Genomic DNA, 22,696 nt, shown 5'->3' with positions numbered 1-22,696 from the left:
TAGTTCCTATTTTAACTGATTATAAGATAAAAGGAGGCCAGGCTCAATACCATTATACCCAGAGCACAGTCACGCAGTGATTTATTTCTGTGTAAGAGATTGGTCATGTAAATGAGATGCTCATTCACTACAGGACTGATACAAGCATCTTCTCTCTGAAGGTTTGCCTTGCAAATGGAACTTACTGCTGGCCTCCTTTATTTAGGCAAATGTACATATCCTCTTGAGTTCCTCCAAAGAACAGGTACATTATTATACGAACTAGTAAGTGTTGCTACGTGTCCGAGTCTAGAATCAAAGAATGATCATCTGTACAGGGCAAATGCTCACTTTGGGAAGACCGTTATTTCATCTATTTGTGTCTGGTTGCCTCTACATGTCAGAAAGTATCCCTGAATGACTTACCTCTTTGCATAATTCAGAACTCTCAGAAATGTTATTTTTCTTTGAAAGGAAGCCTTGACATTTCTGTGCCCATGTGGACTTACAAAACATCTCTGAGGATTGCCATCAATAAGCATAGACTTGAAGAAAAAAAAAAAGCTAAGATTCTTATAGCTTATAAGATGCTGAAGATATATAGTCTGTGGATTCATTTAATAGGCTCTCATCTCATAGATGTTTCCATTGTGATTACACTCACATTCCAAGGCAAGCAATGTGTGAGAGGGTGAAACTCTGCAGCAATCCAATCTCCAAACTCTTAACATAGGATGCATCTTATTAGGGTACAGGAAACCTGATAAATGACAGAGAAGAGATGCCATACTGAAACTGTGTTACTGTTCACTGAAGTCCTAGTTTCAGATATTCTGTTGTCTCCATTATTGGACTAAGATTCCATCATCCAATTGACCTGATGTTATCTGAGATTTTGCTTAATACAGTCATCATCCTTTAGGGAAGAATTTAAGAAATGAGAGGTTGTGTCTATACACCCAAAAGCTCTGAACCCAAAGATGATTCACTGAAATTCCATCTTTACTTTTTTCCCTTTTTACTAAGTCATTGTAACAAGCCTGAGATGACTGTCAAGGAACAATAAGATTGTATATGAGAAACTTCTTTGAAGCTTATATACCAAACTCACTTATGATGAATACATATGGGAGTATGTGTGCTCCTTCATTTTCTATTTATATATGGGCTTGGGTCATAGCTTTAATTAATAAGTTACCATTAGTAAATATTTATTCCAGCATTGATCTTCCTTAGATATAAGTTAAATGGCAGATGAAGTTAAATGTGTGGGATGTGATCCTTTATGTTATAATAGTTTATGTTAAAGTATAACTTTAGTGATGCCCATAAGACACAGAAAACACAATTAAATGGGAATGGGAGAGTCTGGCCTAATATGTTGTGTTAACTTTTTTTTTCAAATATTAGGTTTAATATTGATAAAAATAAAATTATCATAAACAATTTAGCAGCAGAAGTTAAATTAACTGAAATTCACATTGGACAAGTGAAGATTGCCATAGTAGCCTTTGTAAAGCACAGAAGGATGGGCTGAAAGATCTTTCTTTGGCCATGTGCTAAATCAGAGGATGCACAGACTCATTTGAATGGAGGCAGAACATCAAGTATTTACTGAATTGTTGGGCAAGCCCATGATTTATAAAGTTGGTGTCAGTATAGTGTTCTAGTATCAATTGTTTTTGGATTTTTAAAAAATGTTTTAGCCTTTTGTACATATATGTCTTCACACAGAGAAGCATACATTCATTTGGGGAATGCATTTCCTGGGAAAAATTATAATTTTTGTGGGTGTACTTGTGTAAACTGCATTGGATTGAAGATTTTATTCTGTCATTGAATTTTATTTTGCATGGAATGTTTCTTGTCTTATTATTTGTTCTGGATACTTTGCATTCAGAGGTGTCACTCAGATAAGATTTAATATGTAGACTAATTATGGCACAGAACTCTGCTTTTTAAATTAATAGAATATTCTGACATTAGAGGGAGAAATGAGGAATGCGAGAACCCACTGATGTTTGTGTTTTGAGTACATCACAAACTCAATTTCAAATATGTGGGCTTTTGAAAGCTCAGTGCAGGTTTTGCCAAGGATATTTTCTGCTCATTTTTATAGGCTTACATATTTCAAAGGGAATTGGGTCTGTGTGTTTGCATTCCATCTATGCGTAATTCATCAAAAACATTGTTCAGAAAACAGGAAATAAACACAAACATTTGTTTAAGATAGTTCTAGTGTTATTTAAACCTTGGACACTAAGAACTTCAGAACCTGCTAAAGTGGTTAATTAACATCTGCTTCCTCAGTTTACCTGTTTTGTACCTTGGAGTCAATTCTCATTTTGAGGAACATTGAGATACATGCTGTTCTTGTAGGAGCCTAAAACTTTTTATATGTTTTTTTCATTCCAAGGGAGTTTTATGATGCCATCCTACACATGTGCTTATTGCTATATATAAATGAGAAGTCAAAACTTCAAGAATGTCATACACTAGATGAAATCACTTAAGAGTTCAACTAGACTTTCAAATACACTGTTATAATGAAGTACAGTAGATATGAATCACTCTAAAGTCAGACTCTCTGGGAAGGACAAGTCATTTAAGCTCTCCAGTCTTTATTTTTCTGATCTATATGAAGTGTAGATAGTAATAATGCCTATATTTTATATGTTTGTTTTGAGTGTTATATGAAATTTTACCTACAAAGGACTGACACATAAGCAAATTTTAACATGTTATTAGTTTAATTTGATGAATAATTCACAAAGAAAATATAAACATTTTATTTGTAATGCGCAGTAAATTCATCCCACGATTTATTCTGTTTTAAAACATTGCAAAAGGGGACAGATTTACCCCATGCCAAATTGCCTATTCCACACTTGAACTAACTGAGAACAGAATATATTTGTGGGAACTCCTTTGAGTTAAGTCTAAACAGTTATCTTAAGAAAATACTATATTCTATTCTAATGGAGTTTACTTTTTTAATGCACTGAATGTATCTGTATGTGAAATTTTATTTGGGGGAGCAATTTTGCAGGAGTACTTACCATTCAAAATCTGTTTAACAAGGGGCATGAAGTAATTTCAGATTTCTCCTAAGAATTCATGAGTCGCTTGAATGTAAAATAGAGGGCAAGAGGATCAGGAAGCACTCTGAAGAGAAAATACATTCTAAGACCCACTTAAATAGTTATATTTTTGCCTCTGTAATTGATAAGCAGAATGAAGATTTTGAATTTATATGATCTGTCATTTTGTAGTACACTGAAATCCAGTTGTGTGGCTTTAGCCTTGCAGATTAAATACATACTAATCTTTTTGTGTTTGTATTTATTTTAAAGGTCGGTTTCTGTTTGTTTGTTTGTTTGTTTGTTTTAGACGGTGTCTCGCTTTGTTGCCAGGTTGGGGTGCAGTGGTGTGAACTCAGCTCACTGCAGTCTCCACCTCTTGGATTCAAGCGATTCTCCTGCCTCAGCCCTGCTAGTAGCTGGGATTACAGCTGCGTGCCAACACACCCAGCTAATTTTTGTATTTTTAATAGAGTTGGAGTGTTACCATGTTGGCCAGGATGGTTTTGAACTCCTGACCTCATGATCCGTCTGCCTCGGCCTCCCAAAGTGCTGAGATTACAGGCATGAGCCACGGCGCCCAGCCAAGCTTGGTTTCTTATATACCAATCTTTAATATTGCTTATGTCATATAATATTGTATATAGCTGGTGAGTTCATTTCTATCCTTTGCCTTCAACTCAATGGCATTGTTTTGAGGGGGAAATAATGTATCTGATTTAACCAATTATACATTGGTTATTCAGCCCTGTTCACTGATATAAACAATTGGAAATTTTTAAAGATTTCCCTGAAGAGGGCATATAAGCTTTAAAATAGACTTAATCAGTTATGATAAAGGGGGGAAATTCTTCTAATGATTCATTTCAGTTTATTAAAACCATACTATTGAAACTTAAATATCAAGGGGTATTACTTTTTGAAAATGGCAATAAATTCACTAATTACTTTGGAGTCTTGGACTGATTAGAAAACATACCTATAGATTTTGCATTACGAATTTGAAAAATATAATACATTTGTTGATAATCTTTTAGGGTTTCCTGCTTGACTTGGTAAATTTTTAATTCTTGCCTCTGGTGGAGGAATGTAGTGGACCATCTCTTATTCAAAATGATTGGCAGTTTTCTTTTAGTATTTTGTTTGTTTTTAATAGAAGAGATTGATGAGAGAACTATAAAAATATCAGTCTGTTTCTTTAAATAAATGAGTTTTACTTATAAAGAGTGTTTAACCTATAAATAGTTTTGTTTTTGTTTTGTTTTGTTTTTTTTGAGACAGAGTCTTGCTCTGTAGCCCAGGCTGGAGTGCAGTGGCGCGATCTTGGCTCACTGCAACCTCTGCCTCCTGGGTCTCAGTTCAAGCAATTCTCCTGCCTCAGCCTCCTGACCTATAAATAGTTTTACATATAGTGTTTTTATAGATACTTCCTGAAAAATAAATTTAAAAATAACTAAATGTAAAGGACTGACAACAGTTCGCGTATCACATTGGCCCCTCCTTAAGTTTCTGTGCGCATTGATGATATGTATCTGTTGGTTACGAAGTCATCTCTCTCTGCCGCATTCTCAATTACTATCCATTCACCACAAGGCTCAACTACTATCCATTCTCCACAAGGCAACCAAGTCCATTTTTTTCTTTTTTTTTTTAGCAACTAAATGGGATAAATGCAGTGATAAGCAGGTAAACTGACTCTCTATAAATACAAAGCTCTGATTGTCACTTTGGAGTTTCCCTGCAAAACCTGCCAGCCCTGTTTTTTTTAAGGGACCAACATAATAACACTGAAGGCGGCGTTGGGAAGAGGTGTTCCCTGTCCATTCTTAGGAGGCAGCCTGAGTGGGCCCAGCACACACAACTGGAATTTGCTTCCTTATCTGAGCACATTGTTCTTCCACCCTTAGATTTGTTCTGCCCTTTTAAATCAGAAGAAATTTTTGTACATAACACTTTCTCAGATACTTGACGATAATCCATATGCCCTTCAGTTATTTCTCTTCCTATTTTAGCAGCCATATGTTTTACCTACTTTGGACGAACTCCATTTGGTCTTTTCTAAAGAGAGAGGACTGTACTAGATTCTCAAAGTGGCCTGATCTATGCTGGAGTTACTACATGCCCCTTGGTATAATCTGCCTATTAATGTGGCCTGTAATTTATTTTTAGGATCAATGATATGACTTAGAGAGCCATACAGTCCATTTAAACCCCAACTCTGTTTTTACAAGATATATATATATATATGTAAGCCAGTTTCCCCATTCTGTATTTATACAACTGATTGTTTTAAAATCTGTTCACTCAACGGTCTTTTATTGGGCACCCATTATGTATCATAAGGTATGAGCCCTGCTCCCAACAATCTTTCAGGTCACAGTGTACAAATATGTCCACAAGTCATAGTGCATGGATTAGGAGGTGGGCCACATGGGTTGGAATGTAGCTTATGCCATTTTGACCTTTGGTGCATTAGTTAATGTCTCTGTGCCTCAGTTCCTCTCCTAAAATGAGAAAAATTGTGTTATCTACCTCATGGGGTTGCTACAAGGGTTAAATGAGTCACCAAACAGAAATACTTACAAGAGTGCCTTGTACGTTGTAACACCCCATGATGTCAGTTGCTGGCATTGTGATTTTAACATCATCATCATCATCGTCGTCGTCGTCGTCATCGTCATCATCATCAAAGTGCTGCATCCAGGAGGCACTGTCTGCTCCCCTAGGCTGAGTCAGTAAGGCCTCTAAGCTGAGGAGAATCATAAGCTGGGAATTAAGTGATGAACAGAAGATTTCTGATTTTAAAAGGAAGGAATATTTTATGCAGATATTATAAAATAAAAGATGCAAAGGTCTGGCACTACTTTAGAATTACAATTATTTGCTGTGACTAAACAAATGGCAAAAGTGAGAATGAGGAAGGTGATACCGGGAAGAGGATGAGCCGGGTCAAACGCAGAGGGGCTTTGCACATAATCTTCGGGAATTTAGATGCTTCCTTGGATTCTGTTAATAAATACTTGCCAAGTGTCTCCTCCACAGCAAGCACTCCTGGTTCCTAGGCCTGGAGAGCAGTGGTAAGCAGGACCGGTGCGTCCCCACTTTTGTGGAGCTTTCTATTTGAGTGCAGACTTTAAGAAAACATAAGAGTTCTAGAGATGAATATGATCAGTTTGTGTCGTGGGTGTGACAGGGTGGCAGGCGAAATGGGGCAGGTGGCGGGCCACTTAGGAGACTGTAGCGTGAGACTAAGCCCTGGACTAAGGCAGGGCCAATAAAGAAGGCCATGAAGGCCAGGGCTTCATGAGAAGAGAAATCCGGGTAGAATCTCCAGGGCCAATGAATGGAGGCTGTGGTGCAGGACTCCCAGGATGCAGGAATGATGCTGAGGTTGAGGACTCTTGAGTTCCTCTTTCACTGCTCTAGCTGATCAAGCTGTTAACACAGCACCTGTCATTCTTCCGGTGATGGGTAAGACAGACAAGGTCCCTTTTCTTGTGGAGCCTGCATTCCATGTGCAAGAAGGTTATTAATGCTTTTAGTCAGAGTGCCATGAAGATAAAAGCCACGTGCTAAAAGGACAGGGCAGAAGGATAGAAGAAACTTGGGTTGCTGAGGGCATCAGGGAGCCCCCAGCCAGTTCTAGATGGCTTTTGTTTAGACTTCTTGTAACATGCGAAAAATAAACCCCAATTGGTTATACTTCTGTAGTCAGTATTCCGGTACATGCAACCAAATACAATCTTCAGGTTTAAAGCAAGTAAAGCAATAAAAATGGTAAATTTCAGTTAGTGATAAGTGCTTGGAAAGAATTAAAATAGGCTGAGGACTGGTGACACTACCTTATATTGGAAATTTAGGAAAAGCTTCTCTTGGAAGGTGAAGTTTGAGCTGAAAGCTAAAGGAGCCAGCCCTGGGAATATCTGCAGAAAATCATTCCAGAGAGAGGGAGCAAAGGACCTAGAGTGGGCATTAGGTAAGCACATGCCAAGGCCATAAGGGAGGTAAGTGTGGCTGGAAGTTGGTGGAAGCAAGGAGGCTAATTGGGAGGCTAGTCTAGGTGTTTGGGGGACGGAGCATGGGGCTTCGCTAGGGTACTAGACGTTGTAATGGAGGGACACATGTAGCTTTGTGATGTTTTAGAGGTTGTGTCAATGGGACTAGCAGATGTACGCATTGTGAGATGCAAGGGAAAGAGAAAATTGAAGTATGACACATTGATACTTGGCTATGTGAGATATAGAACTCATGTTAGATGTTGATGCCACCAGGCACAGAGGAGAGTGGAAGAAAAAGAGGAATGGGTTATTGTGGGAGGGGCAGTTCAAATAAACTTTATTTGAGAGGTTTAAGGTTTCAAATAAATTTTAGGTGGCGATCTCCAGTAGGAAGTTTGTTTATCTGTCTGTTGTTGAGGTTAGAACAGAACAGAAATATAAATTTGAGCCTCAGTGTTTGATACCTAGTGCTACCAAATAATATATAGTAAGACATTCTTCAGATAAAGCTTATTTGAGAATCTATACATACATTCTCAGTCAAGATGAGGTTAGATGTAGAATCTAAATCGAGAACTATAATAGAAATACATGGAAATTACATTAGTGACTTTGAATTTGATTAGCATGCTTGTTCTTTTGCAAGTCTGACATTAGCAATCTTGACTTCCTGTGCAAGTCAGATTTCCATTACAAGTCAAAGATGAATGAATTATATATAAACCATTGTATAAACTTTGTAGGGAGATACATATTTGTAATTGTTATTGCAAAACCCCAGGGATGGAAAACAATATGGGAATTATATGACAAATACTAGTGGGCCCACCATTCAACTTAAGAAAAATATTACAACTAAAACTGAAGCGATGGATGTACTGCTCTCTGATTGTGTTCCATTTCTTCCTTCTCTACAGAGGTAACTATTATCCTGAACTTGGGATTTGTCATTATCAACTATGTTTTTATACTTTAAAAAATACATTTATTACCCCGTCTCAACTAAAAAAAATGCAAAACATTAGCTGGGCGTGGTCTGGGGCGCCTGTAGTCCCAGCTACCCGGGAGGCTGAGGCAGGAGAATGGTGTGAACCCGCGAAGTGGAGCTTGCAGTGAGCCGAGATTGCGCCACTGCAGTCCAGCCTGGGCGACAGAGCGAGACTCCATCAAAAAAAAAAAGAAAAAAAAACATTTATTTACCAGCCTATAAGTAATATGGAATACTGCTAATTTGCATGCTTTTAAACTTTAAATAAATGATATGATGTTACCTATTGTATGCAACTGAACATATTTGTTCAATCATATTTTGAGATTAATGCGTGTTAGTGGATATAGCAGTAGGTCACCTGTGTTCACTAATGAATAGCATACCATGTGTGACATCACAATGGATTTATTCTCATGCTATTGGGAATTTAAGGTGTTTCTAATTTTTTTGCTTCACAAATAGTGCTGCACTGAACATTCTTATACAAGTCTTGTGCACAGGTATAAGACTTTCTCTAGACCAATTCCTGGGTGTGGTATTTGTGCACCAATAACTTCAGCTTTACTATTAATAGATACTAAATAATTGCTCTGCTAGGTGATCATAACAATTTAACTCCCAATTATTCACATCCTCGCCAACGTTTAATATTTTCAGACTTTTAAATTTTGAGCCTGACTGGTGTAAACTTTTCTGTCATTGTAGATTTAACTTGCATTTCTCTAATTACTTCTCAATTAAGCATCTTTTCACATTTACTATTCATTTGCATTTTGTCTTCTGAGCATTTAGTATACTTTGGCCAAACTTTCTCATGGGCCTGTGATGGTTTTAAAATGTGAATTATTTTAATGCACAATGTATATTAGTATTTTGGGGCTAACGTAGGAAACAAATAACCTGTCAACCTCTGGTTTGTCTCCTTAACTTTGATGCTGTTATTGGATGTATAAGATTTCCCACATTAATGTGGAAAACTTACTTCATCTTTGTTTATGATTTGTATCTTCTGTGTCTAATGTGAAAGTTTTCATATGTTGTGGCCTTGAATATTTTTAAAGAATATTTTTGTATACATTTTAAAGTTTTGGTTTTTGGCTGGGTATGGTGGCTCATGCCTGTAATCCCAGCACTTTGGGAGGCCCAGGTGGGCGGATCCCTTGAGCTCAGGAGTTTAACACCAGCCTGGGCAACATGGTGAAACCCGTCTCTACAAAAAAATATGAAAATTAGCCAGGCAAGCTGGTGCACCTGTAGTCCCAGCCACTTGGGGATGAGGTGGGAGGATGGCTTGAGCCCAGGAGGCAGAGGTTGTAGTGAGCCGAGATTGTGCCACTGCATTACAGCGTGGGTGACAGAGCCAGACCTTGTCTCAGAAAAAAGAAAATTAGTTTTTAAATATAGGTCTTTAACAACTGGACTTTATCTTTGTGTACATGTGCTGTCCACGCAAGATCCAGTTTTATTTTATTTTCTTCACAGGGATCACCTGTTGTGTATTCCCATGATTGAACAGTCATGCCTCATAAGGACACCTTTGACATATATATAGTTTCTATGTATACCTGGATCTATTTTGAACCGTCTACTCTGTTCTGTTTGTCTATTTGTCTTTCCCTGCACCAATACTACGTTGTTATATTACTATAGTTTTATTATAATTTGCGGTATCTGACAAGGCATTTCACATCACCCACCTTGTTGTTCTTTAGGAATAACTTGTCTTATTTTCTGAATTACAGGAAAGATAATTCTATATTGAGATTATTCTTTTGCAGTCCTTTGAAGACATAGCGTATAGCTTTTATCTTTGCTACTGGTAAGTATGCTATGAGTCTACTTGCAGTATTTTTGGAGGTAATCTGTTTCTCTCTTGCAGCTTTAGAAATCATTTCAAATCTTTGTGGTTAGTCGCTATCACATCCATGCGTTCAGCTTTGGCTTTCTTTCCGTATTCACTGTGATTCCTGTATGAGAACATTCGTATCGGTTCTAGAAAAATATACACCAGTGTCATCAAATATTGCTTCTCTTCCTTTTGCATTTTCCTCTAATTCTAGAATATAAGTTCATTATATGTTGGACTTTTTATTCCTTTTTCAGTACCTCTCACTTCCTCTCTAAGTTCTTCATCACTTTATCTCTTTGTGCTGCATTCCAGGTAATTTAATCATACCTTTCTTTTGCCCTTAGTTGTATATTCATAGTTGTACCATTTTTGGGCCATTTTGCATTCCCAGTGGCATTCAAAGAATGGATATTTCATTGATGGGTTTTCTATGTGATTCTTTTTCCAATGTCACTGCCTTTTCTGATGGAATCCTGCTCTTGTTTTATATTTCAATGTTCTTCCATTAAGTCTTTAATCATTTGAAAAATAGTAATTTAATGATATCTGTACAAAATTCTGTGTCTGTGGTTCTTAGGTAACTAATCCTGATGGTGACTGGGTGTATTGCTTCTCTCCCTTGGAAGATTATATTTTCACAAGGTTTCTGTGTTAGAATGTGAGTTCTTGGGCTTTGTGGGGCTGCTTCGTGGCAGGCTGGCAGTGTGTCTCTTCACCATAGTTTTAAGCTTGTCTCTGGCATGCAGTGTGTAACTACTTTTTTATGTTTATTTTTCAGCGTTGTGAAAAATGGACTATATAAATAGTATAAGGTTAAACCTTTTGTCGAAGGAAGAGCAGATCTCTGATTACAAACCATCAAATGTAAGGTCTAGTATCAGGTCAATAAGTTTTCTTCTACCTGTTCTGATGGGTAGATTTTTTTTTTTTCTAGTCAATCCTTTAACGAAAGTCATTGGTTTTCTAGGACTCCATTCTACATAAGGATTTTAGTTCTAATTCTCCACCTTACATGAGGCTAAGACACCCATCTCCTATGTGGCTGTGAACCATGAACCTTGAAAGCAGCAATTTGATTTTTAATTAATGAAACTTGTTTTTTAGAGCAGCAGTTCTGGGTTCACAGCAAAATTGTGTGGAAATTGTGGAAAATTCTCAACCTCATTCCCTTACTTACACACAACCTCCCCACTATCAACATTCCCACCCCCATCCGCCAGTGGTACATTTCTTTTCTTTTCTTTTTTTTTTTTTTCTTTGAGACAGAGTCTTGCTCTGTCACCCAGGCTGGGATACAGTGGCGTGATCTCGGCTCACTGCAACCTCCACCTCCCGGGTTCAAGCAATTCTCTGCCTCAGCCTCCTGAGTAACTGGGATTACAGGCCCCCATGACCACACCCGGCTAATTTTTTTGTATTTTTAGTAGAGACGGGATTTCACCATCTTGGCCAGGCTGGTCTTGAACTCCTGACTTAGTGATCCACCTGCCTCGGCCTCCCAAAGTGCTGGGATTACAAGCGTGAGCCACCACGCCCGGCACACCCCCAGTGGTACGTTTCTTACAACTGGTCATTGACACATCATTGTCACTCAGAGCCAGTCCTCTACATTAGGGTTCACTCTTGGTGTTGTACATTCTAGGGCCTGGACAAATGTTTAGTGACATGGATCCAACACTGTAGGATTGTGCAGTCTTTTCACTGCTTTAGAGATTTTCTGTGCTCTACCTCATCACCCATTTCTTCCCTCTACCCTGAGCAACCGCTGATCTGTTTACCCTTTTTATAGCTGTGCCTTTTCCAGGATGTCCTATAGATAGAATCATAAAGTCGCCTCTTCATATCGCCTTCTTTCACTTGATAATCTTCATTTAAGTTTCTTTTGTACCTTTCATGGCTTGGTCACATATATCTTTTTTTGCATTGAATGGCGTTTCCTTGTCTGAATGGAATGTACCACAGTTTATTTATCTGTTCACCCTATGAGGACACGCTGGTTGCTTCCAAACTTTGGCAATTATGAACAAAGCTACTATAAACATCTGTGTGTAGGTTTTTGTGTGGAAATAAATGTTCAGTTCAATTCATCACTTTTAGAATGGCATAAGCATCACCCTTGTCATTAGGCATTCATCTAAACACTCAGGGTGGTTATTTTTATCCAGTGGGTAGGCACTGGATAAATATTTGTTGAATAAATGAATAGACATTATTTAGTATAATTAATGGTCTCTTCTATAAGGTACCATGTAGCAGTGGCTGAATTGATTTAACGTCTTGAAGTCTTCATCAATTTCTGATGACGACCAGTTCCTAGAATTAGAAATTCACCTCTAAGTGGTAAGAGAATAGAGGAAACCAGTGGGTTGTAACTGCAAAGATACCACAGATACTGACATTTGCATCACACTCAGCAGATTATATACTCAAATGAGGTTTCTCCTACTCCCTGTCATTGTGTGTGATAAGGCAATCATGAATAAAATCTCACACAATGAAGCTGAAGATTGTCCCTGAGTTATATAGCACCTAAACTTTGTCTAGATGTCTTACAAAGGAAATAAAAAATGAAAGAGGAAAAGGGAAGGAAGGAGGGAAGGTGGAAGGGAGGGAGGAAGGCCAACTGTATTTCTAGGATTGGGGAATTTCCTAGTATAATTTCCATCTTAGATCTGCCATTTTCATCATGGCCAGAGTTAGTCACTCTGTCATCTCCTTGTTGTTCATTACCTCAACACTTAGTTCTAGTTACTGATGTGTACATATATAAAGCCAGACATCTGTAAGTGCTTAGTTGAGAAGGTGTAGATGGAATCCAAGAGTATCTAGGAATGTAACCCCAGGATGGTTAGGGTAATGTCTTTATTCAGTTACATTTTTATATGTAAGGGAAATGATTGTCTATTCCAATTCAGATTTCTTTGTAATATTAATATGTACTATAGAAGCAATGAAAGGCAAAGAATCCAGAAAGCGACTAGAAGAATAATCATTTTTACTTTCCTTCTTATGATGCTTTTTTTTTTTTTTTTTTTTTTTGGTCTCTTGGAGATGGAGTCTTGCTCTGTCGCCCAGGCTGGAGCGCAGTGGCGCGATCTCGGCTCACTGCAACCTCTGCCTCCCGGGTTCAAGAAATTTTCTTGCCTCAGCCTCCCAAGTAGCTGGGACTACTGGTGCACGCCATCATGTCCAGCTAATTTTTTTGTATTTTAGTAGAGACAGGGTTTCACCATGTTGCCTGGGCTGGTCTCGAACTCCTGAGCTCAGGCAATCCGCCCGCCTCAGCCTCCCAGAGTGCTATTATTACAGGCGTGAGCCACTGCACCCAGCCTCCTTCTTATGACTCTTAATGTCCTATAAGCCATTTTTAAAAGTAGCAGATACCTGAGCCCTCTCAATTATCCCCAGTTCTTACTCGTAAAGAACTCTGTGACCCAAAGTCATTTTTTAAAAGTACCACTAATATTGGGATGTGCAGTCAAACCTGCTGTATTCTGGACCTTCCCTGCCCTGTGAGAGCTCTACATGCAAGACCCAAGTAAGGCTGTCAGCTCATGTGCAGTGGCATAAAAACTACCATGTGATACTGTTTCATGCTGTGGCCAATGCATTTCTATCAATGATGCATCACTGGCTTGACAGCAATGTTACTGTTGTATACTAGGGGCAGGTAAATTTTTCTAGCAGAAATGGTATTTGGACCAGAAGTTTTTATATGAAGAATTTGATTAAAGAAATATTATTAAGTAGCCCTTCTTTCTAAATATACTTTCATGCTAAAACAAAATAACTCAGAAAATATGAAAACAGAACTCTAGAACTCTTTGAAGTTAGCAAGTAAAGCATACATACATGGTGTCTTAGTAACTGTTTCCATTATGCAGATTCTAAGAATCTTTCCTGGACAAGACTAAAGAATTCCCAGTGGCAAACCATGATCTGCTGCTCAGCTCAAATTGTGGGTCCCAGAGCAGCCATATGTGATAGTTACTTGTAATTAAGGACTTCATCTAAACTTGAAGATAAGCTTTCCTTGCTGAAATTAGATATTACTTCCTATTTAACTTATTTAGATAAATTATTTTTATTTTATAAATAGAATACATACTTTAATAGTTTAGTAGAATATCTCTTAATTTTGTAGCTCCTTCAGTCAATACCTTTGCATTCCTATTTTATATTGCATTATATTAATAGTTACTGGTCAACATTATGTAATGATGTTCCTGAGTCCTTTAGTGTCTTTGCCTTACTTACTTGATTCTCCTTGTTTGCAGTAGACTGTTGCTGTTTTCCTGTAATGCGTTGTTCTTCTCCTGTTTATTTATACTATCTAGCAAGGCCATGGAGGAATTTGGTAGACATTTGTTAATGAGTAGCTAGCCATCCTGAGTTAATAGACAATGATATGAATTGATGGACTCATTGAGAAGGTGCCATATTGTATCATTTCTGATTACAAATAAACCAAAAAATTGAACTAAGAGTACATAATAGGTTAACATTTCATGTAGCTAAATTAAGAGAGGCCAAAATATCAAAGGGAAAGTTGAAAGTCACAAGGAACCACCCTGGGTCTTAGCTCCATCAACTGTGTCTCATGGGATGGCAGGTAAATTAGTTATTGTTCTTAACAGCCTAGATTCTTTACTTGAGAAGACAGGGATAATAAAAATCAGGATAACATCTGATCTTCAGGGCGCTGTGAGGGTAATAATGTTAGGCAAGTATCCAGAGAGTGCCTGGCACAAAACAGCCACGCAGGTGCTGCCTGTTGCTTCCTTCCTGATGGAGGGTTATTGATAAACATCGTGCATAATAAGATTTCCAAGTAAGCCTGTTTCCTCTCAATTATTAATGATTACCTGGAGTTCTGTTAAGGAGAATCAGAGATCTCTGGACATGAGTTTGGGTCATAAGAAAGCGGTGGTGAGCTGTGGCTGGCAAGCCTGTGCTCACAGGGAGGATGTGTGAGTTCAATGCTAGCTTCTCTTGGGGCAGACGTAAGGCATTTGAGCTCAGTCTTTCTTTGAGCTCGACTGTATCGCTTGATTTAGGTTTGCTGTTCTGGTTTTTAAAATTTAGTAATAGAGAAGAGAGTACATAAGTAGAAGACCAAAACTGTATTGTTACCAGAGTTCCAACCGCTGCTGACTTTTCTGGCTCTACAAAAGAGGTAAGCCGTTAAAACTGTAAGTGTCCCCATCTTTTTCCTGCTTATCTCTTAGTGAGTAATAATTTTGCTTCTTACACTTTTTATGTCTCTGAGCTACAGAGTCATAGCTACAAGTCCTTCATTCATCCCTGAATTTTAATTTAATGTAGTATTTATGGGTGTTAGCTTTTAAAAATAATACCATATTACTCCTCAGAACATTTGCCATGGGCTGTCTGTATCCGAATCTCCTAGAAAGGAGATGGGAAGGTTGTTATAAATGCAGTTTTAAGAGTTCCACTGGGCAGGGGCTCCCCTGAAATCTCCCTGACTCTGCTGGCTGGATGCAGGCAATCTGCACTGTTAGCAGCTCTCCAGGGCACTGTTATGCATGCTCAGATGTGAAACCCTCGGATCTAGATTTTCCAACTTGCACTCATTCCAAGATGGCAGCAGGACAACCTTTTAACTAATAGAAGACAAAGGATTCAATGTGATTAAATTTGTGCCTAAAATTTTGATCTCAGGCTATGGTATTTTAAACATAATGCTTTACACCAGGAGTCCCCCCTCCCCGCCATTGTGAAATGTACATGTGAAGAATCTAGGTTGCACGCTCCTTATGAGAATCTAATGCCTGATGATCTGTCACTGTTGCCCATCACTCCCAATGAGACCATCTAGTTGCAGGAAAACAAGCTCACAGCTCCCACTGACTCTACATTATGGTGAGCTGTATAATTATTCCATTATATATTACAAAGTACAAATAATAGAAATAAGGTGCACAATAAATGTAATGCGCTTGAATCATCCTGAAACCATCTCCCTGCTCCAGTCTGTGGAGAAACTGTCTCCCACGAAACCAGTCCCTGATGCCAAAAAGGTTGGGGGCTGCTGCTTTCCACTGTAATTTTCTAAAATTTTCCCAAATCAGGAGGGAGGATAGTAAGTAATCATTTCATGTTGTGCAAAATATTCCCTGGTCCAGCAACTTTCTAAAATGGTTCTCTCTCTCTCTTTCTCTTTCTCTGTCCCTGTCCCTGTCCCTGTCCCTGTCTCTGGCTCTGTCTCTATCTCTGTGTCTGTCTCTCTCTCTCTGTCATTATAGGTCATGGATGTTTATATGAGAATATTTCAAATACCAAAAAGCATTTTTCAAAAAGTAAAATCCCCCTAACCTCACCTCCCATAGATGCTCCATCATATATTTCACTTGGGAGCGTTGTGGGCACTGTGGAGTTCCAGGGCTAGGACTGGGCTGCAGAACCAACTTCCTGGGTTCCAGCTTGTTGACCCTGCACCTGCTGGCTCAACCTTAGTGTGCCTCAGTTTCTTCATCTGAGCAATGAGAATAGTAAATGTCTTATTCTTGTACATTTATTTATTTATACACCTCATAGTGTTTTTGTGAGGACTGACCACATGCATGTAAACGTCTTCTTAAGCTCAGTTGATTTTAGCTATTATTATTAATCACACATCTTATAATAAAGTTGAACACTTTGCAATATAATCAAAACAAAACTATTTTCATCTCTCACCAGCCTTTTGTTGAGGAAGAGCAATTTTTCCCTGTCCCTGGATGGGAAATCAGAAGGTCCCCTGACATTTTTATTCACTCTTTAACAAACTTCCTTACAGGTACTAGAAGTCACAGACATAGTCTTAAGGATGTAATTAGAACATCCAAGCCAAGACAATAATACGAACGTCGAAGTTAATTTGATGTTGGATCTTCTTACCAACACCCCTCCCACCCCTGCCGCCCCTGCTTGCACCTGCTTTTCCTGGAGCCTAAGGAAGGAATGGGCTTTGTCTCTGGTTCTTTGCCTTGCCTACCTGTATGTTCCCTTGTGCCTGCTTCCCAGTTTGTGACACCTCCAGGGTTGGGGGGTGGGACTGGGTACAGGGTGGGTCCTTGTCCTGGTGCCCCACACCCTCGCAGATGATTCTAGCTGGCTTCTCCCTCCCCTCCTCCTGAGAAGGGGCTTTTGGGGGCTGCAGTGGTCTGCTGACAGGAGCCCTCCCTGCAGCTCCCCTGGTGCAGGCAGGAGTGCCCTGGGTGTGCTTGGATTCCTTCATGAGTGTGCAGGAACCGTGCACACCATCAGCCACTGGGTCCATCTGCCCTCCTAATGGGTGTTTTCCACAGGTTCCAGCCATCCCCCCCCTCAACACACACGCATACACACACACACACACACACACACACACACACACACTGTCTGTCCCTCTCTCTTCATCACTTTTTCGTGGAGCCTACATCTGAAGCTCCAGGAACACTCCAATTCTTGTTCTGCAATCTCTTTGAGTGCTGGCCTCAACTTTGTTGATATGCAGTCCACATGCTATGCACTTCACCCATTTAAGCATACCATTCTATGGTTTTTAGTATCTTGGGAGCGTTTTCACTCCACCACCACAATCAATTTCAGAACACTTTCATCAACCCCAAAAGAAAACCTCATACTCAGTAGCAGTCATTCCCTTTTCTCAGTTCCTGGCAACCATTAATTTACTTTCTGTGGATTTGTCTATTGTGGACATTTCATATAAATGGAATTACACAATATATATCTTTTTGTGATTGCCTTCTTTCACTTAGTACAATGTTTTCAAGTTTCATCTATGTCATAGCATGAATCTGCACTTCATTTTTATTGCCAAATAATATTCCATTGTATGTATGTACCATATTTTATTTATCCACTAATGAGTTGATGGACATTTGGGTTGTTTCTACTTGTTGAGTATCGTGAATGATGCTACCATGAATATTTGTGTGCAGGCTTTTGTATAGGCCTATGTTTTTACTGCTCTTGGGCGTATACCTAGAGTAGAATTGCCGGGTCATGTGGTAAAATGTTTAGCTATTTACAGAACCCTCAGGCTGTTTTCCAAATGCTTGTCTATATTTATTGTGCTTCATATCAGTAATCAAGAGTTCATGGAGTATTGAAAAGTCTACTATGAAGGTGAAGAGGTGGAAGAAATGTGATGATCACGTTCACACTTAGGTCTTGGAAAACCTGCCACGTGGACACTAACTCTTGATTTCTCAACAGAAGACCCGTAAACACGTTCATGAACTGAGCTAGAAACCGAAAGCCATAAACGTTAACGGACATTATCTGGGAGAAGTGTTGTTACACAGTCGGGCACAGGGAGGTTCCCTGCTATGTTCCATTTGAGAGCGCTTTAATTTCAAAGGGTACCATCTGGCCCTCAGTGCTTGAACTACTTGTGGCTTTAAATGCAGGGTTTTGCTCATTAAAGCAGGTCACTCATATTTTGAATCAGAAAATGACATTTAAGTTACTCCTTTTCTACTTTACATATGTCTCCCTTCAGCTTCTGGTCATCTCTCACTCTTCCTCAGTCTTCTGCCCCCACAGCTGCCAGCATGTGATGGTGTGAGTGGCCTGGCATGTTTTGCAGGATGCAGATCCCCTCAGGGGATGCCCGGCTGCCGGGGGCAGGAAAGGCAGCGACCCCTAGCTCACAGTCAACGCGTGGCATCAAGAGTGCTATAAATGGAAAAATACAGAGATGGCCCTGTCCTGGCTTTGATTTAGAATTTGGCATGTTTCCTTTTGCACTTTTGAAAAAAAGTCACGACTTTTTACTAGGATGGGTAGGTAGTTTGTATCACAACTATGGCCACATTTGCCATCATTATGAAAATAAAAAATAAAAACTCCTTGGAGTTTCAGTAATATTGTTTGCATCTCTTACCCTGTGTTGTTTGATTGTCTTCACAGCCCGCATCTGTTTAATTCAAATTATGCACATGTCTCTCTGGACTCTAATTTCCTCCAGCTGTTAGGATGCTGGAGCAGAAGAGCTATAGATTTAAAACAGCTGTTTAGTTAGGAGAACTGCTTTGTGTTTAGTTTAAGACTGAACCATATATTTCAAACACATTCTTATCCATTTTTAAATAAAAAATTTCTTTAATTGATTATTAAGTTGATTCATTTTAGTATATTTTCTGTGTACAGAATTTAAGGATGTACATCTTTACTCAAATTTTCATTTTAGAAATAGAAAAATGAGATAAAATGCTTTGTAGAAATGTAAAATATTGTCTGTCCCCAATCACGTGTCAGTAAGTAGGTAAGTTATTAAGAAAAAGAGCAGAAAGAAAATAATTTGAGAATATAGTAAATATACTTTTTATTTAACTACAGGAATAGTCTAGAAACCAAAAATGGTGGAGAAAACTGATTGATGATGTTCTGCCCACAAACTACACACAGAAAAATTCTTACAGCCTGGCAGCAGGTTTAATTGAATTTATCAAAATGCTTCCAAATAAAATATACTTACTCAGCAACTTGTAAGGAATATGAAAAGGAGAAGGAAGGAAATCTAGTGACTTTGCTTCCATCCTACCTCCAGAAACATAGTTTTCTTCTTGGCACAGACCGAATAGACTTGATCAGAATAATTAACCATCCTTACCACCTCTTAGCAAAGGACAGACTTCTTGACAGCTAAAGCTGCTCTGCTACGATTATCTTGAATGTCACCAGGTAGAGGTGGGGTCTGGGGGATTCAAATGGTGGGAAAATATGGAAAGCACTTAAATGAGGATTTAAAAAATATATTATTTAGGAAAATAGGACAGAATGTGCAAACAAATACTCACCCTCGACAATTTTGTCATTGTTATGGCAGTGGTATAAATGGAAACCAAGGGCCATTAGCACAAATGTCCACAAGTGCCAGGCCGGTATTTTAAAGCATGATACTGGAGGTCAAATATTGGAAAGTAGTGGAGCCACTGAGAACTGGAGATGGCATGCCTGATTTAAAGACATCACAATTTTTAAATGATTAAAATTCAGTGCACTAAACAACAGAATTCAGCGTTTTGCAGTCTTTCAAATGGAGAGATGCCTATTAACGAGTGTTGCTGAGTATTACCTATGAAGATCTCCCATTAGTCAGAATAGTCTGAATAATATATTCTAAAAATACATTTCTTTATTTAAATTTGAGGTTGTCTTAACTTTTTTTGAGACAGTCTCACTCTGTCACCAGGCTGGAGTGCAGTGGCGCAATTTGGGCTCACTGCATCCTCTGCCTCCCGGGTTCAAGCGATTCCCTTGCCTCAGCCTCCCAAGTAGCTGGGACTACAGATGGGTGTCACCAGGTCCAGCTAATTTTTGTATTTTTAGTACAGACGGGTTTCATCATGTTGGCCAGGATGGTCATGATCTGTTGACCTTGTGACCTACCCGCTTCACCCTCCCAAAGTGCTGGGATTACAGGTGTGAGCCATGAGCCTGGCCTTCTTAACTTCTTAATTACCTCTTAATCACATATCACTAAGTGTTGAACAGCTACTCTTAAAGTAGGAAGCTTTCACCATAAAGATATTTAGATACATGAGTGATACTCTTCACACGATCTGTTTCTACCTTTTGAAGATTTGGCAATTTCAGCTGCCTTTATTGAATTCATTATCTGCCCTGTGATACTTGATTGCCTCCACACAATTGCTGCATTTCGGTGCCACATTGTGTCTTCTGTTTGAACACATTTAAACAAAGTGGTGTGACACTCGTGTTAAAATTTAAATAGTTTCTAGTGTTACCAGTCCAAATAACTTTCCCCAGTTGGCTATTTTTGCGTAGGCACAACCAATTGTAGCTACGCTAAGTCTATTACGCAGGGTTGCCGGCAAGGTGAACCTGGAATTGATGGTTCTGCCGCATCTTCGATTTCAGAAACATTCAGAAGTGAAGGAAGTAGAATCCTATTGTTTTTGAAGAGGTGTTGTTTACTAGCATTTTGCCATCTCTCAGAAATCAGTGAAAATTTTAACTGTTCCTTAGCATCAGATATCTTAATTTTCTTAAATAAAAGAACAGAAATTTTACTGGTCTGTAAAATCATAAGTTTGGGAACAAGTTATAAAAATATACAGTGCCTCCAGTGATAGAAAATCCGTTCCTTTGTAAGGCAGCCTAATTAATAGATGGACATCAATGATAATCAGTTTTAAGAATGCTCACTATATATATGTCATCTTTACACTTTCCATTCTGATTATTTTATTCTATCCATAGATAGCATTATTTTAAAACTTCAAAGATTCACTTTTTTTTTTTTTTTTTGAGACGGAGTCTTGCTCAGTTGACCAGGCTGGAGTGCAGTGGTGCGATCTTGGTTCACTGCAACCTCCGCCTCCTGGGCTTATGCCATTCTCCTGCTTCAGCCTCCCGAGTAGCTGGGACTACAGGCACCACCAACCATGCGCGGCTAATTTTTTTTTTGTATTTTAGTAGAGATAGGGGTTTCACCATGTTAGCCAGGATGGTCTTGATCTCCTGACCTCGTGATCCAGCCGCCTTGGCCTCCCAAAGTGCTGGGATTACAGGTGTGAGCCACCACGCCCGGCAGATTCACTACTTTCTAATCTTCATGGTCATCATAACACCTGTAGACAATGATGCCTTGTCCTAACAGCCGTTCAAACCTGCTTGTCCTTACCTAACACAGAGATTAGCTTAAGATAAAAGCAAGAGTAATCTGGAATCAGTCATCACCCTTTTAAAGTTTTGTTTGTATTATGGAGCAGTAAGTTCTGTGCATTTCCTAAAGCCAACAGCTCTGTATCTGAAATCTTTTTTGTTGTTATTGTTGAGACAGAGTCTCACCCTGTGGCCCAGGCTGGAGTGCAGTGGCATGATTTCAGCTCACTGCAGTCTCCACCTCCCAGGTTCGGGCAATTCTCCTGCTTCAGCCTCCCGAGTAGCTGGCATTATAGGTGCCTGCCACTACACCTGGCTGATTTTTTGTATTTTTAGTAGAGACAGGATTTCCCCATGTTGGCCAGGCTGGTCTTGAATTCTTGACCTCAAGTGATCCACCTGCCTCAGCCTCCCAAAGTGCTGGGACTACAGGCGTGAGCCACCGCGCCCAGCCTGTATCTGCAATCTTGAGTTTGACATTGCCCTTAGGGCCCAGCATAGCAGCCTGCCTGTGTCTGTGCTTTCTCCCTAACCCCCAGCTTGAAGCTCCAAGTGCCGATTCTGGACTAGATGAAACTATTAAAATAGGTGATGTCTATGGTCTACTCCTTAAGGCAAAAAACATGAAAGAATAACATGACTGGAAATGTTGAAACTTTTAATTTAATTCCTAAATTGAATAAAATCCAGTGAAAATAGCGGCAATGTTAGAAGACAATAGAATGGTGATTTGCACAATAGTTTTTTGAATGAAATGGAAAAAAAGGAAATGAGTAGAGATCCAAAAGTGAAAATACAGATAATGTTTGGCCCTAAACCAACTTTTGTTGCCTTTTGTTCTTGTTTCATTTTGTCAGTAATACCTTGCTATCTAATTAGTTACTATCTGAGGCAGCTTATTAACTTTTTTCTATTTTCTTCCTTTCTATATTTCACAAATGTTTCAAGAATCTCATTTGTCTCTTTCCCCCTGCATAGCTACACAACGCAAATATGTAGACCGCTCCCTCATAACTCATGCTTGTAGCTCCATAAATCATTTACTCTTGCAAGCTGTGTGTCGTGGTCTGAAGCTGATGGGGCTTCTTCATTTGTTCTGACTCCAGGATATTAAGGACTGAGAAAAACAACAATAAAAAAAACAGACTGTACAGAGAGT

At 39.1% G+C, this 22,696-nt stretch overlaps 1 protein-coding gene and 1 long non-coding RNA gene across 7 annotated transcripts in view; both read left to right on the top strand.

Moving 5' to 3' along the window:
* The window catches only part of PRKN (parkin RBR E3 ubiquitin protein ligase), a 1,380,350-nt gene that overhangs the window by 291,876 nt on the left and 1,065,778 nt on the right, over positions 1-22,696 (top strand). The window lies entirely within an intron of this gene.
* The window catches only part of LOC105369171 (uncharacterized), a 59,560-nt gene continuing 50,045 nt past the window's right edge, over positions 13,182-22,696 (top strand). The window contains exon 1 of the long non-coding RNA XR_943200.3: positions 13,182-15,073. This is a non-coding gene — a long non-coding RNA (uncharacterized LOC105369171). The remainder of the gene's footprint in view (positions 15,074-22,696) is intronic.

The sequence above is a fragment of the Homo sapiens genome, chromosome 6 (assembly GCF_000001405.40).
Source record: "Homo sapiens chromosome 6, GRCh38.p14 Primary Assembly".
NCBI classification, from domain to species: domain Eukaryota; kingdom Metazoa; phylum Chordata; class Mammalia; order Primates; family Hominidae; genus Homo; species Homo sapiens.
The sequence above is the reverse complement of the archived record's forward strand: the minus strand, read 5'-3'. Positions and strand labels throughout refer to the sequence as shown.